Consider the following 16338-nt stretch of genomic DNA (forward strand, 5'->3'; position numbering starts at 1 on the left):
TACAGACCCATAACTGTCTGTATGATCATTTGTATTACAAATCAATTTTTAATAAAACAATGAGTTTATTCATGGTATGATCTTGGGCTAGCGCTGGAACTCACTGGTTCTCATTTGTAAAGAGGGAGTAATAATAGTTTCTGCCTGATAGGTATGTCTGTTGATTAAACTAGGTGACATATGGAGAGTACTTATCCCAGTGCTGATAACATGGAAAGCACTATAGTTATTCTATTCATCTCAGGCCATGTATCTGAAAGTAGAGTTGTATAATAATATCAAATATACCTCTTCACTTTAGATCATGGGGAAATACAAAGTGGACCTTTGCATTTTTCTGTCTTCAATAGTTTGTTTAAATAGGTAAGGTACTTGTTTATGATAATTTTTAGTTGCAGAAAAAAAAGGCTACTTTTTAAAATGAAAAAGACCGCATTGATAGTAAGAAAGTCTTTTACTGAATGGCAATCATACTTATATTTTTAACATACAGATGTCCCCCAACTTGTAATGGTTCACCTTTCTATTTTTTGACTTTATGGTGGTTCAAAAACACTACGCATTTAGTAGAAATCCTACATCAAGTACCCATACAACCATTTGGTTCTTCACTTTCAGTGCCGTATTCGACAAATTACATGAGACATTCAAGACTTTTTTCTATAAAATAGGCTTTGTGTTAGATTTTGTCCAGTTGTAGGCTAATGTAAGTGTCTGAGCATATTTAAGATAGGCTGGGCGAAGATAAGATGTTCAGTAGGTTATTTGTATTAAATTCATTTTCAACAGGTATTTTCAACTTATCATGGACATAACCCCATCATAAGTTGTGAAATGTGTGTATTTTTATAGCAGTGAGTTAATTACATAAAGAAAATTAAATTTTACAGTATGGAGCAAATAAATTTAATGTTCCTGACATCACATGGCATCATATGGATTTTTACATTTACCAATTATTTATTTAACCTGTCATCACCTGCCTTTTGGGGATAGACTTTATAGAGAATATTGACATTTTAGTACCATTAAAATAATCTCTCTCTCTATGTATATATATATATATATATGAATTATTTATATTTTTATATTTATGTATGGATTATTTACATATATATACTTTCTTGAAAGATTGAATCATTCTTAAATCTTAGTGAAACTTTATGTAGTTGTTTTTTTCTTTTAAAAAGAGGAAATATGGTAAAGCGAACTGAGTGAGTGTCAATAGAATGAGTTCGGAATACAAAGACTAGAGCCTGTGTCTGTCTTTGACCCTGAAGAGCTGTGTGAATTAATTTTTTCCAAACCTTTAAAATAAAAAGAGTTTGAATTACATTTTACTTAAAATTATTCTAAGCTCAAAATATCTAAATCTCAGCTATACATTTATTATGTTTGGCAAAATCACCTAACAGGAAGCCTATCCCAGTTCTTTATTTAGCTTTTAGTATCTCCCTCCTTTGATCATATTTTTTTGTATATAACAGGATAGAAGTGCACACAAAACACCTCCTTAGTATTCAAAATCTTAGCTGTATTTCTAATACTTGGAGATTATATATATATAATATATATGGACATATATATCATATATATACATATATACACACATACACACATAAAAACATGCATTAATGAATATATAGTTTAATGAATTCATATATATTCATAAACATATATGATATATTTCTAATACTTGGAGATTTTATATATAGATGTATACACGCAGACACACATAGACACACACATAAACATTCATGAATGGATATATATTTTTATGAATTCATATACATTCCTATATATATATGAATATATATATATTTAAATGAATTCAAATACAATGAATATATATATTTGTTCACATATTCTAGACACTCAGAGTCTACATTTATTTATTTTTAAGCAAAACATTAGAGAATTTTAGGGCAATGAAATAGTAATATTTTCTCCATTTTTTTCCTGCTTTTGTGGGAATCAGTAAAATCAAGGATTTTTGTGGAAGGGATAATTTGAGGCAATGTTGCCACGAGAACATAGAATGAAATGATGGTGTCTAGCATCAGAAATCCTCAGCCAGAGAAAATGCTAGGCTTTTCAATTAAGAGGTATAAACATATACTAATTCTCGATGCCTGAAGTCTTGGCCACACTTAAGAATTTCAACTCCTGAGAACATGTCGGGAAGCAAGAATTGGTCAGAAATGGAGTACAGGGGCACAGAATACATCCCGAACATATGCAATTGTTCTTTTTTAATTAGTGTGAAACAGACAGAAAATTAGAGGCCATTAGAGAGAAGATAACAAATTTGTTCACAGATATTGGAATATATTGTACGTGTGTTTTAAAATCTGTTTGATGAGTGAACAGATAGTTATTAACCCATTAAGTGGATGTTGGAAAGAATTATATGTCCAAGAGAAGATAAAACCTGCTTAGGTTCAGAAGCAAGAGTTCCGTGAGGTTTTTTATGATGACATATGACTTACCCAATGTTGATTCTGTTTCCTCAATCATCATGTCTACTTGCACTCATGTTGGAAGCATTGATCAAGGAATGAAATTGTGCTTTACAAGATCAGTCTTATTTCACCAATAGCAGAACTGAGAAACCATAAAATGAAGTAATTAATAGATACTTCATTTTAATGTCAAATTTTATCAACAGAGAAATGAAATATATAGAGGGGTTGAATCGAGTACAGGATATATGGAGCATGGGTTTTAGTTCTATCTTGGCTACAAAATTGTTATTCTCTTTAGTAGAACTTTGTTTTATTTTCTACGACAAAAAGGAATACGCTCATAATGCCCTTCCTCGCTAGGATTCTGTGAGGTTGAAATAGATGATGTATACGTTTTCTCTAGAAATGAAGTATGTATTTAATTAAGTATTACTATTAACTCATTAAAAAAAACTAGTATTAAAATCTTTCAAGTAGGCCCTTATCTGCATTTTCTGAATTTTGTTTTTACTATAAAATATACATATATGGATAATACAGATATAAAAACATAATCAAACTCATTTTAAATGCTAAGAGTACACTAAGTTAGTGTGTACAAATAGAATATAAATTTTAATTTGTGAAGAGTTGAGGCCTTTAGAATACTTTTTTTCACTGAGGATAAATGGTATTTTTATCAACGTATCACAACATATCACAGGTATAGTATGCTTCTATTCTGAATAATAGTGTGATATATAAATAACATTCAGTTTTGAAATTTAAAAACCCATCGAGGTATACATTCTCAGTTATCAATTATGACAAAATCAATTTTCACAAAAATATGAGAAATACTTGGTAAAATTATGAAGCAGAATTATTACTAGTATTATGTCAATATTAAAGCATTTTCAAGAAACTAGAAGTAATTGAAATTCTGAAGATACTATTTTTTATTTCTCCCAATAAAAGTTTGTATTTGATATAGCATCATAGCCCAATCACATATTTTATATTACCTAATTAATTAAATATAATAAATATGTATATCTAATATGAATATAAACATGTAATACAACTATTATCCTCTTCCAATGAGTAACTCTTTTTCTTCTAGACTTTGCTATAGATTGCAAGCATGATTTCATGCCAAATTAAATTTTAATTTCTACATATTAGGAAGTTAATAATTTATAAATAGGGTTTTGCTGAATATGAACAGTATTTTATTTTATTTTATCGTTTGTATAAATTTATGGGGTAGAAGTGCAATTTTGTTACATGAACAGATCTCACAGTGGTTTGGTTAGGGCATTTAGAGTATTTATCTCCCAAGTGACATACATTAAGCAATAAAATAAATAAACCATACTCATACATGGGATGTGAACTGTGAGTCCTTGAAAGTAGCTTTCCACTGTTTCCCTGTAGTTCTTTTTTTTTTTTTTTACAAAGTTTGAATTTGTCTTGGCACTTGTCTTTTTGATATAAAGCATGAAACCTAAGAAAGTAACGAATGAGGCTCAGTATTGATGCCAATAGGTGTAATTCATCATGACTTCAATGACAGTCAGGTGGTACAGTATAAAGTTGCTGAAGGGCAATACATGCTGCATCAGTGTTGAAGATGTTTTTCTTATCTCCTATAATTACATTAAAATTATCATAGAAACCAAACTAATTCCTTCATTGACTAAACCTAAACATGAATTAAATGCCAATGTAAATCCTAGGTGCTTAATCCTTTAATGAGTGATTAAAAATGGCCATGTATTCATGTTTTTAAATAGGCTTATTTCTCCTTCCACACCTAGGAATTTTCTAGTTATGTTTCTAAAGTTTCAACATTTATCTCCTAAATCGTTATTAGCTATCTATGCATTCTGATAATCTACTATAGTCCCAACATTCAGCAAGACACTTGCAATACCAAAATGGTTACTACACAGGAGAGATCTAAGAGAATAAACAAGGTAAATAAATCATTTTAATAAATTATATCATATTAAAAGAGATAATAGTAATGTGGACAAAATATGGGAGGAAAGAAGATGGAGCTTTTTCCTCTGATATGGTTTGGGTCTGTGTCCCCACCCAAATCTCATGTCAAATGTAATTCCCAGGTGTTGCAGGAGGGACCTAGTGGGAGGTGATTGAATCATGGGGGCAGACTTCCCCCTTATTGTTCTTATGATAGTGAATGAGTTCTCACAATATCTGATGGTTTAAAAGTGTGTGGCACTTTCCCCTTCTCTCTCTCTCTCTCTCTCTCTCTCTCTCTCTCTCTCTCTCTCCTACTCCCTAATGGTAAGATACACTTGCTTCCCCTTCACCTTCTGCCAAGATTGTAAGTTTCCTGAGGTCTTCTAGCCATGCTTCCTGTACAGCCTGTGGAACTGTCACCAGAGAGGTGACATTTGAAGAATTTAAGGAATTTCAACTTGATCTTAATGTCAATGAGTTTCTTTTGACGGTGCTTTAAAGATCAGGTTGTAGATAAGAGTGTGTGAAAAATAATTATACGTATTTTGGAAAACAGAGACAGATTTGTGAGACAGTTTTAAGATTGAAGGACAGGATGTATGATATAGGAGACATGAAATAGAGTGAAGAGTCAAAGATAATTTTAATAGTTCTATCTTAAGAAAAGTTGGTATTATTTCATAATTATTAATTCAATTAGGGGCTAGTTTGGAGAAAGCGATGATGACTTTGACATTGGATATATGGAGTTCTGTAGTGCTATAGAGCACCTAGTCAGATACATCAAGGAGGCTGTTGAATATGAGGTTGTAGTTCAGAAAGAAGTAGGGTCTAGAAATGCACTGTCACGTATAGTAATCACTAGTCACATGTGGATTGAAAAATAATTAGATTAAATAAAAGTTCAATTTCTCAGTGGCATTAGCCATAATTCACATGCTTAGTGATCACGTATGATAGTGGCTACTGCATTTGGCAGCACAGGTTACAGGAAATTTCCATCATGACTGATAATGTAGATGATGTTACCTTAGCAACACTGGTCCAGCTGAGGAAGAGTAAAATGAGACAGGCTAAAAGACCCAGGATAGAGCGGTTCATGTAGTCCTCAAGACAGAAATATTATAAGGAGAAAATGTTCAAAAGAGTATTCACCCAATCAACTGCTCACTCATTATAACTTTTGAACCAATTTTTTGGAATTCTTGTTTTCCGCTTCATTTATGCCCAATCCTCAGATCTTTGCTATTCTCAGTAAAAAGCTCCACTTGGCTTGTTCCTCATTACTTTAGTCTACTTTTAACAGATGCAATATCCTGTATTTATTTTATGTTTTTGGATTTAATATATTTTATTATCACTTTCTTGCTAAAATTTTGTCCCTAATAAATACTCAATTAATGATCATTGGTAACTTGTATTAAAACAAATGAAACAAAATACTGTAGCTACATTTAGAAGAGAAAGGCTTTAAAAATCAAATGTGAATATAGGGCACTTGGAGTGCCAGAAGAAGTTCTATTTATTATATTATGGGATAGGTAGTACCTTTCATCTGGCACCTCAAATGCTCTATAGTATATATAAAAATCTCTGAATATGAATGGTACATCTAATGAAACAAAAATGCCCTCATCTATGTGGTACCATGGAAACCAGCAAATGACCTAATTCTTCTTGTAAGTTTCCTCAAGAAATATCAGTTTATTTGTCCTTTCATTGCTTTTCTCATGTTCAGAGAAAAAAATTCCTTATTTTTCAATGGCATAGGATATATAAGATTAATGATATAGGGCTTTCAAAAGATCCTGTTTACGTATTACAAAAACAGGAAGAGATGGATATACGTTTCTTCCTGTTTTTGTAATATGTAAACAGGATCTTTGAGTAAAATTATTTGGGTATTACAACATGACAAAGAAAAAGTAGTAGGAATAATATGGTATTGATTTCCATTATATATGTGAAGAAAGTGTCACAGTGATATTAAGTTTCAGAATAAGAAAATATTTGTGTAAAGCCTGAAAATCAAGGTAATTTTTATAGAGTTTAAATTCTAGCAATAGAGTTATATTTTCCCTTACTTTATAGCTATACATTTTAACTCAGTTTTGCAGTGGTGTGAATAAAGGTTAATGGTGGGGTCATCAATGATTTAAAAATTTTAATAATTTTAATTGTTAACCATTTCTGTAATTATTAATTCCATTTGGCTGTCAATCGTCCTTAGAGTCGATTAACCTTGGTCTCTTTGATTAATAGATTTATATTTGCTAACATACTATTTTAAATACATGACTTGCAAAATATAAATCTGAATTATTTAAAAATGTCATGTTTAAAACATGTTTGTATCAGTTGTTATAATATTCTTAAGATTCTTGGAGCATGGTAACTGAAAACTTAAAATGATCTTCTCATTTTATAACTATAGAATAAAGAGGCAGACTAAACTGTAGAATAAATTATCTTGAGATGCCATTCTAAGCTATAGCTTTTAAAACTATATCTCAGTAGCATTTTATAAAGTAAAAGAAAAAGAAAGATTCCAAATACCTTTTATTTAGTTTCTGAGTTTCAAAAATGTTAATCAGGCTAATAGAATTCCTGGTACACGTTTTTTAAATGCTTAGAAAGCCTGGCTATAATTTTTCATCTGAATGAGCAAATCTGTCTTCTAGGTATCTCTAATGTTGATAAATTGTTTGAATAAAATATGAAAATATTGTATTCTATTTAAGAAAACAAGTTTAAGGATATTCTAATCTGTGTATTTGTACATTTGAGGTAATTCTGAAGCTATGAATTTAGAGCTTTTAAAAAAATTCAATTTTTTTCCGCTATATCAAATTATTGTTACTAGATGCAAGACGTCTCCATAGAGATTTGTACTCTTAGTTTTCATGACATGAGCTAAAACAAAAAAATCCCAAATATGTATTTTCAATGCGAAGGTTGTACTTTGTAATAAAGACTCTTGGTTGGAGCTACTCAAGGGAGATAGTAGCATATTAAAACCAATGCCTTACACTTTGAAGAGGAAATAATATAGGTGTGTGTATTTTCCTCATAAGTGCATAATTAAACTTAATATCTTCATTTACTGAAACTGGAGATTGTGCCAACTGTATTTTCTCTTGCCTAGAGAGGTTTGGTTTATTCTTTTTGATTATACTGAACAAATATAATTTGTAAAGACACGCCTTATACTATCAGTTTCTCTTTTGTCTTTTTGTTTTTATTACTCAAAAGTGAATTATTACACAATATGTGATTGTCAAAATTTGACTCAATTTTTAAACAGAAGTTAATCATCAAAGTAAATACTTCACAAATTCACCAAAAGCTACCATATATTAAGTGTTATTAACACTTATTAAGATAGGAAAAGAAGGCTGCTATTCTTTTATCATACTTTTAAAAATCTTATAAATATATAAAGACTGATTTCGACATGTATTTGTTACAGAATCTAAATATATTACATGCATAAATCAGAATGGAAAGTTCTTTCATCACTTACAATTAGTGTGACAATTTTTTAAGGGCAGAAGAAAACTATTTTAATATGTTTTCATGTTTAATTCAGGAAGTAGAAGTCTCATTCCATAAAGTAACATTTTTGGTGATAGTTGAGTTTTGTATGCTCTAAATATAAGTCCTTCCTATTTTAGGGATCTGTCAATAAGTTGAAAGTGAATTTCGAATTTTGATGTTAATTTCTGCATTTTTTCCTCCCTTTGAAGAGGAGACTCTACCTTTCCATATCGTTCTTGAATAATACCATTCTCAAGGTGCTGTAGAAGTACAGAGACGAAGGGCAGAATACTGAATGCATAACAGAATAACTCTAGGTCGACAGATCAAATATCCCTCCAAAAATGTGTTTAAACAAACTTTCTGTATAATAAAAAGATTTAAAAGCTCCAGACAATCCCTACTTAAAAAAATCAAATGTAACACAACATACCAGAAGAATCTGGGAAAGTTTTGGACCCTGTTACGACAGTTTAATGTAGATATTAAAGAGTCCTGGAGAGAGTACTTACTGCCCCATGGACAACTATAATAAAAGATTCCCCTACATGCACACACACACGCACATACACACATATATGATATGGGCTAATTAATGGCACCGATTTTCAGCGCTAATCACACTAATCAATCTTAGTATTGATCCTCGGAAAATCCTAAATTGTGTGTGTGTGTGTGCGTGTGTGTGCTCTCTTGGTAGACCTCTGCACATGACCCTGAGAGTCACTCATTCTCAGTATATCACCATAGACTGACACTACCAATTGATTGGATTTGACAGATGAGAAAAACCCATTTGCCAAATCTGGATCTAAAATACTCATCAGTTATACCTTTTACCTTTAAAGAGGTGGGTTACCCTTAGAAACTTCAAGGAATCGGCGGGGCACGGTGGCTCACGCTTGTAATCCCAGAATTTTGGGAGGCCGAGCAGGGCAGATCACCTGAGGTCAGGAGTTCCAGACCAACCTGGCCAATATGGTGAAACCTTGTCTCTACTAAAAATACAAAAAGCAGCCAGATGTGGTGGCGGGTGCCTGTAATCCCAGTACATGGGAAGCTGAGGCAGGAGAATCGTTTGAACCTGGGAGGCGGAGGTTGCAGTGAGCCAAGATTGCACCACTACAGTCCAGCCTTGGTGACAGAGCAAGACTCCATCTAAAAAAAAAAAAAAAAAAGAAAAAAAAAGAAAAAAGCTTCTAGGAATCACTGATTTAAGAAACCCCACTAATGTGAGGAGCTCTGTAAGCATGTATATTAGCTGATACGCAACTGATTTTTTGGATAGTAATTTACATTCAAAATATGAGGCACTGTAAAAAATATATGACATTTTAAGACACAGTTTCTTCCTGTCATTTAAGGGTTAATATTCTTGTCAATGTCAGAAACATTTGAATGCATGCCTCTGTGTATAGCAAGATATTTAAATATTTGATTTAATTCATCACCCAAGAACTTCATGTTGAAAATATTTTGTTGAGAACAAGTGGTCATTAATTCATTTACGCTTAACACTATTTCTCCATTTCAACATTTGATCCAGCTTTTAACCAACAACCCGTAATTGCCAATGTAATGAAATAAGCATACAGATATTGTGACACTATGCACTTTAAATATTCTTCAGCTTTGCTGTCTGCATTTACTCATGCCCCAGTTTGATTTCTCATATTCCAGTCTGAGATATGTTTGTCAATGTTTGATATATGGCATGGCTGTCAGTGATTGGTCTACCAAATAAAAGTCTCAAATTTTTATTTCAGCCATAGTTTAGAAGAGCTTCTCTGAAGCCAAAAATTTCTCTTTGTCATACATAGACAAAAGCAAAGATGTTGATATGTGATTTAACAGTTGCTATTGTTTGGTTTGTTTGACTCCTACAAACCTCATGTTGAAATTGATGCCCAGTGTTGGAGGTGTGGCTTCATGAGAGGTGTTTGGATCATGGAGGCGGATCCCTCATAAATGGCTTGGTACCATTCTCAAAGAAATAAGTGAGTTCCCACTAGAGTTGGTTGTTAACAATAGCATGGCACCTCCCCAGTCCCCTCTTGCTCTCTTGCTTGCTCTCACCATGTGATCTCTGCACATGCCATCTGCTCTTTGCCTTCTTCCATGAGTGGAAGAAGCCTGAGGCTCTCAACCAGAAGCAGACGCTGGTGCCATGCTTCTTGTACAGTCTGCAAAACGGCAAGCCAAATAAATAGTATAAACTTATTTTCTTTATAAATTACCCAGACTCCAGTACTTCTTTGTAGCAAAACAGACTAAGACAGCAATTAAATACACACTTTTGGTTAGGTGCTTGAAATGGTAGTAATAATGGATTTTATGGACCTTGGAATTGAAATATCAGAGATGCATATTTAGGCACCTATAGAGATATTACATTAGTTGCCATATGTCTCAGTTATTAACATCCAATTTAATGTCTAAAGAATGGAGGAAGGCATAAAATAAATGTGTGACATTTGGAATAATTTTAAAAAGAGCAATATGTACCAGATAATTTAAGAATATGTGACAAACATGAAAAAAGTTTTGTAAAATAGATGAATGAACAAAGCATTTGAACAATTAGTGTGTTATTACCTCGAATCATAAGAAATTTTATCTAAATTCAATACATAAACATCAACCACAACTCCTGAATGACAATCAGTTTATATGCCGTAGAGATATTTATTCGATCCACATAACTGACTGATTTCCACAGCAAAGGAAATAAAAGAGGGATTCTGTGATTCCTTTTCACCTTTTCTTATCCACTTATTTCTTCAGAGAAGATTCAGACTTCTTCTTCTATCTTCTTCAAAGATAGAAGACTCAGATGCTCTTACTAAAATGGTATACCATTCAGTTTATTCACATCCTTCAGAGGGCCCTAGGGACAACCATGCTGCCACTTTTGGGAATTTTCCTGATGTCAGTGAGTTCATTATGAAATCAACCTGTTTGACTCCAAGTTTCATTCAGAAAATATGGTCACAGTGCCTAGACCTTGTGTCTTAAGTTTTAAGAGTTGGCCCAAGATGACTGTATTCTCTCAATTGGCAACATGGATTGCACAGGTATAGCTTCTTCCGGTACTAGTTATTAGGATCCAAATGCATGAGCTTTTTATGTAGCTACTATTATGATTAAATTCCAAATATTTTACTTTAAAAATAAATTATATAACTATTTTCCAGAAACCAAAACAGATGAAAACATACATCATTTGGAAAATCTGAACAAGTATAAGCCTTTAGGGATATTTATACATTTTTATTTTCCTAAAGACTCCATCAAAACAAATCCCATAACTGAAAATAATGATAAAATATTGACCCTGCCAACGTCCAACACTTAGGCAGCTTTGTAATGAATTGTAGTTGTTCTTGTGTGTACTTTACTTCCTTTAGTAGATTACAGTTTCTGTAGTGAAATTTATCCCTTCTTGTCCATCTTGATATGTCCCAACATGCCTAACAGTGACTTTCACTGATCAGTCATATTAATGACTTGTGATATGTTTTACTATATAAGTGGAATCTCTTCCTTTGAAGGTCTCCTGATTGGCAGGTGCTTTGTCCCCTTTTCAGTGACGCCATAAAGCATCATGTTTGCCCTAATGTTGCTGGGGTTGAGAGTCACAGTTAAGTAACAGGAATTAAGCCCTTCAGGGAGCTTCTCTAGCAAACAGGTGCACCTGTTAACTAATTACTTCACTTGTTCATACTGGCTTATCTACTGAACTAGCTTCTGCCCACAGCAGTTTTTTTTCAAAAGCGTTATTCTTTTTTTTTTTTTTTTTTTTGAGACGGAGTCTCGCTCTGTTGCCCAGGCTGGAGTGCAGTGGTGCAATCTCGGCTCACTGCAAGCTCCACCTCCCGGGTTCACACCATTCTCCTGCCTCAGTCTCCCGAGTAGCTGGGACTACAGGTGCCTGCCACCAAGCCCGGCTAATTTTTTGTATTTTTAGTAGATACGGGGTTTCACAGTGTTAGCCAGGTTGGTCTTGATCTCCTGACCTCGTGATCCGCCCACCTCGGCCTCCCAAAGTGCTGGGATTACAGACGTGAGTGTTATTCTTAAATGTAATCTATTTTTAAGTATACAGAGAATAGGGAACACTTTTGTGGTTGATACACTAAATTTTCTCCACACCTTTAACTTACTTTTTTATTTTAAAAAAATCACTTACTGGATATGTTTAAAGTCCTCTCAGTTTAAAATCCTGAATAGGAACATTTTCTACGGTTACAGTGGGTACTTTAACTTCCCCCACCAACCCCAGTTTGGAAGAATAAATCTAAGAAAGACCAAGAAATTATAGTTCATTGTATCTGCTTGTAGAGTTTAGCAATCTTGGCTAATCCTCACTCTGTGGAAGGAAGGTAGGAAGACAGTTGGATATGCCAGAATGGATACACTAAAAGACTGGGAACATGGAACTGAGTAGTTAGTGCGTGAACTAGAGATTGAAGAGAATATTAGAAAGCAGAGATGCTTCAGAATAGAAAATTTAAAAACGTGATTTGTATGTTGGATGACTTTAATAAATAATAAAAGTATTTTATAACAAAGAAAGGTTATTGCTTTTTTGTAAGAATGTGAACTTCATTAAACCTCTCTAGATTACATTTTCTCTTTCAGTTAAATAGTAGGATTCATTCTTCCTGTGGATTACCCATAGATGCACAGCAAAGAATAATTAATATATTATTAATAAGAGAAAGGTGACAGGCCACAAATGATGTAGAAAAGTGATTTAAGCATGAGAGACAATGCCACTTATGTTAATTTATCAGCAACCTTAATTGTGAAGAAGTGTCAGTATTCATTGGTGTTTTTTTCCCTCATGTTACAAATTCAAATGAGGAGGAAAGAACTAATATTTATTGATGATATATGTGTTCTCACTTTATCCTCATAATAATCCTATGAAGAAAATATTTTTATTCTCCTTGTACAGAGAGGAAAACTGAGTTACTTAGTTTCTTTGAAACTAAGTGAGATATGCATAGATTACAAATGATTGATTCTGATTCCCAGGAAGCATCATTATTTTACTCCACGATGCCTTTTTCATAAACATTTATTTACAGTATATAGAAAAACTCTTTTTATTCACAATAGCATTAACTGTCTTACCCATCATTCATTTGAAGAATATATTTATTCTGTCACACAATCAATGTTTGATACACATGAGTGTATATGCATACCATGTTCTAATTAATGATAATGCAATGTTTAACAAGTGTTGTATACGAGTTTTTATATAAAAAAATTTAAAATCTTATGGAAAATGCAGACAACCAGGAAAATTACAATATGGTTTAATTTATGTCCCAATAAGCATTGCAAAGGCTCTTAAGTAGGAACAGAGAGAGCCAATACATAGATGCAACACTAAATTGTCTATTTCACTAGGCAACTGCTTTCTCCATTCTTTAGCAAATGACTGAGAAGTCCTATGAAAGTCAGGGGTAAAAAAAAGGGATGCATTTATCCGTTGGCTTCTGTACTTCATTGCTCAAATGTTCAAATATGACCCTTTTCTGACTTCATCTTCCATTTCTTGTTTCCTCTTACCTCATGACTAGCTTTCTCTAGAACACTCTCCCTTTGAATATGCATGTGGCTCACTCCCAGGCTTCTGGCAGGTCTCCATTTAAATGCCACTTTGTCTCCCAAGCCTTTCCTGGAGATGCTTTATAAAGTAGCACCCTCCCTCATCCCTACCTTCTCATTCAACTTTTTCTTCAAAGGTCTTACTTTTTGTAAGTTGTAAAATTATTATTTATATTTTCCTTTCTCCCTCTTCCCTCTTTCTTTGCTTTCCCTTTTTCCGTCCTTCAGTATGTTTATGTCTTGCTTCCACTAGACTATAAATTCCTTGAGGGTAGAAACTAGGTCTGTTTGTTTCCAAGTTTTATCTTCAGAGGCTGGGTCATAGTTGGTGCTCAGTAATTATTTGCTGAACAAATCACTAAAGAGCAATTTAAAGCATAGCATGGGAATAAACAAAAACAATGTGATTGCTTCCTCTCAATGCAAGTCTTCTAAGCTACTCCAACCGTGATTTATTGACCATTTGGCATAAAAGTAAACATGAGGCAACATGTCATTTCCTCACCAGTTTCACATTTGTCTTCTCAGAGTATATGCACGTACATTCTGATTCCATACCCAACATACGCACTCTCTTCTCAGGCTAAAATTTTCCTACTTACAGCTATTTTGTAGATTATTAAAAATTACAAATTAAGTAAGAAAGGAAGAAAATAAATATTGTTCCTATAACAAATCAAATTTAAGCATAAAAAGTACACTTGTTTTTCATGATTCAAATGCCAGGTATATTAGTTACCAATACATACCATTAAAAATGAAACTATATGCTATAATTTTTTAGTGAAAAATGAATCATGTGCACAAAAGAAAGTATACAGCATATTTATGTATTAGAGAATGATCATAAACTGAATTGCCGTATGACCACAATCCAGGTAAAGAAACAGAACAATGCCAGTCCCTGAAAAGACCCTCCCTGGGTGTCTCTTCTCAATCACCATCCCAAATCTTTATAAAAGGGATAACTATGTGTTTAGTTTCCTGAGAGTTCTTTGTTTGCATTTTTGAATGTTTTCATCTCCTCTAAATGCATCCTTAAACAATATACTATTTAGGTTTTCCCATTTTTAATTTCTAAAACAGAATTAGAGGGTATACATGCTTTTGTGATTTGCTTTTTTACCCTATAAGATTTACTCTTGTGTGCATAAAACTTTCAGATTCAAGAATGTAAAATAATGCTTTTCTTGATTACTCAAGATGTTCATGCAAGAAGAAATAACGGAGATTGACCACCAGGCTGAACCTGAAGACTGTAAAAGTCTCACAACTTAACACTTTTGTTTTACATATCTTCCTTTATACAGAAACATGCCCAAGATATTCATCACCCAAATCTTTTTTTTTTTTTTTTCTTGAGACAGCGTCTCGCTCTGTCGCCCAGGTTGGAGTGCAGTGGTGCGATCTCGGCTCACTGCAAGCTCCACCTTCTGGGTTCATGCCATTCTCCTGCCTCAGCCTCCCGAGTAGCTGGAACTACAGGCACCCGCCACCACGCCCAGCTAATTTTGTGTATTTTTAGTACAGACGGGGTTTCACCGTGTTAGCCAGGATGGTCTTGATCTCCTGACCTCGTGATCCTCCCGCCTCGGCTTCCCAAAGTGCTGGGATTACAGGTGTAAGCCACCGCGCCCGGCCGCAAATCTTTTTAGGAACTGTTTAGTGATGCTCAGAGGAAAGCAGCCCTATTCCAAAGTACACAAATGTAAAATGGCCTCTAGTCTATATTTGAAAAGTGATTCAGGTATATGTTTTGAAGCAGGAGTGACAATATGGGATATCAAATATACATTTTGAAACCAAGATAAGCACAGTAAACAAGATAATGCACATCTCTGAAAGGAAATCCAGAGATATATTTGAAAAGAAAAAGAGTCACAATATTCGTTTAGGAGAACAACAGTGTATTTGACTTAAAAGAATAAGCATTAAATATATGTAAACCTGGTTTTGTGTTTTAGAGTAGTTGGAGAAATTTTGACTGATAATGAAGAGGGGACTGATCTCCCTACTCATTCTCCATGTTGATAGATGTTGCAATAGTTTGTTTATTTTCATTATGCATTATGCATAATGCATAAATATACCAAAATTTGTTTACCTATTGTTCTACTGTTGATGGGCATTTATTGTTTCCAACAACGATTAAGAGTATTCTTGTACATGTCCCTGGTACAAAAGTTTCTCTAGGATATATATGCTGGAATGCAATTACTGCTTCATAGGGAATGAATATCTTTAAGTCTACTGGGTAACGCCAAATTGCTAGAATAGTTGACTGTCAATGCCTAAAAAGACTAGAATAGCCTGTTGATAAGGCAGAGCTTACTGCACCTACTTCGCAAAGGAAGAACACTATCTTGACTGAATTTAGTATTGTAGTATCTCAGTAGGTGCTATCCTGGATTTATATAGGATTTGGGTAACTGAGCTGAAGTTTTAAGATGGATGTTTTAAGTCAGAAAAATGATTGTCAGTGAGAAAAAATCATTACAATCACTTAGAATTGGTGAACATGGTGAAGGGAGGATTGTTTGATAAAGAAGCTCCTTGTCCAGGTGAGAAGAACAAACTATTTTTCTGGATACATTGATTAACAGAAATTTCTTGAAGCAAACAGTGACGTTATTTATCAACTTAAAGCCTTACCTTCACAACCAAGAATCTCCTGGAATAGTTACATACACAGGCGGCCTCTAATGCTGATAGATAAGCTAAGTGGATGCTTATATTTTTAATTCTT

At 33.4% G+C, this 16338-nt stretch overlaps 1 protein-coding gene across 21 annotated transcripts in view; it reads left to right on the forward strand.

Moving 5' to 3' along the window:
- The window catches only part of NAALADL2 (N-acetylated alpha-linked acidic dipeptidase like 2), a 1369567-nt gene that overhangs the window by 1186585 nt on the left and 166644 nt on the right, over positions 1 to 16338 (forward strand). The window lies entirely within an intron of this gene.

Source organism: Homo sapiens, chromosome 3 (genome assembly GCF_000001405.40).
Source record: "Homo sapiens chromosome 3, GRCh38.p14 Primary Assembly".
NCBI lineage: Eukaryota > Metazoa > Chordata > Mammalia > Primates > Hominidae > Homo > Homo sapiens.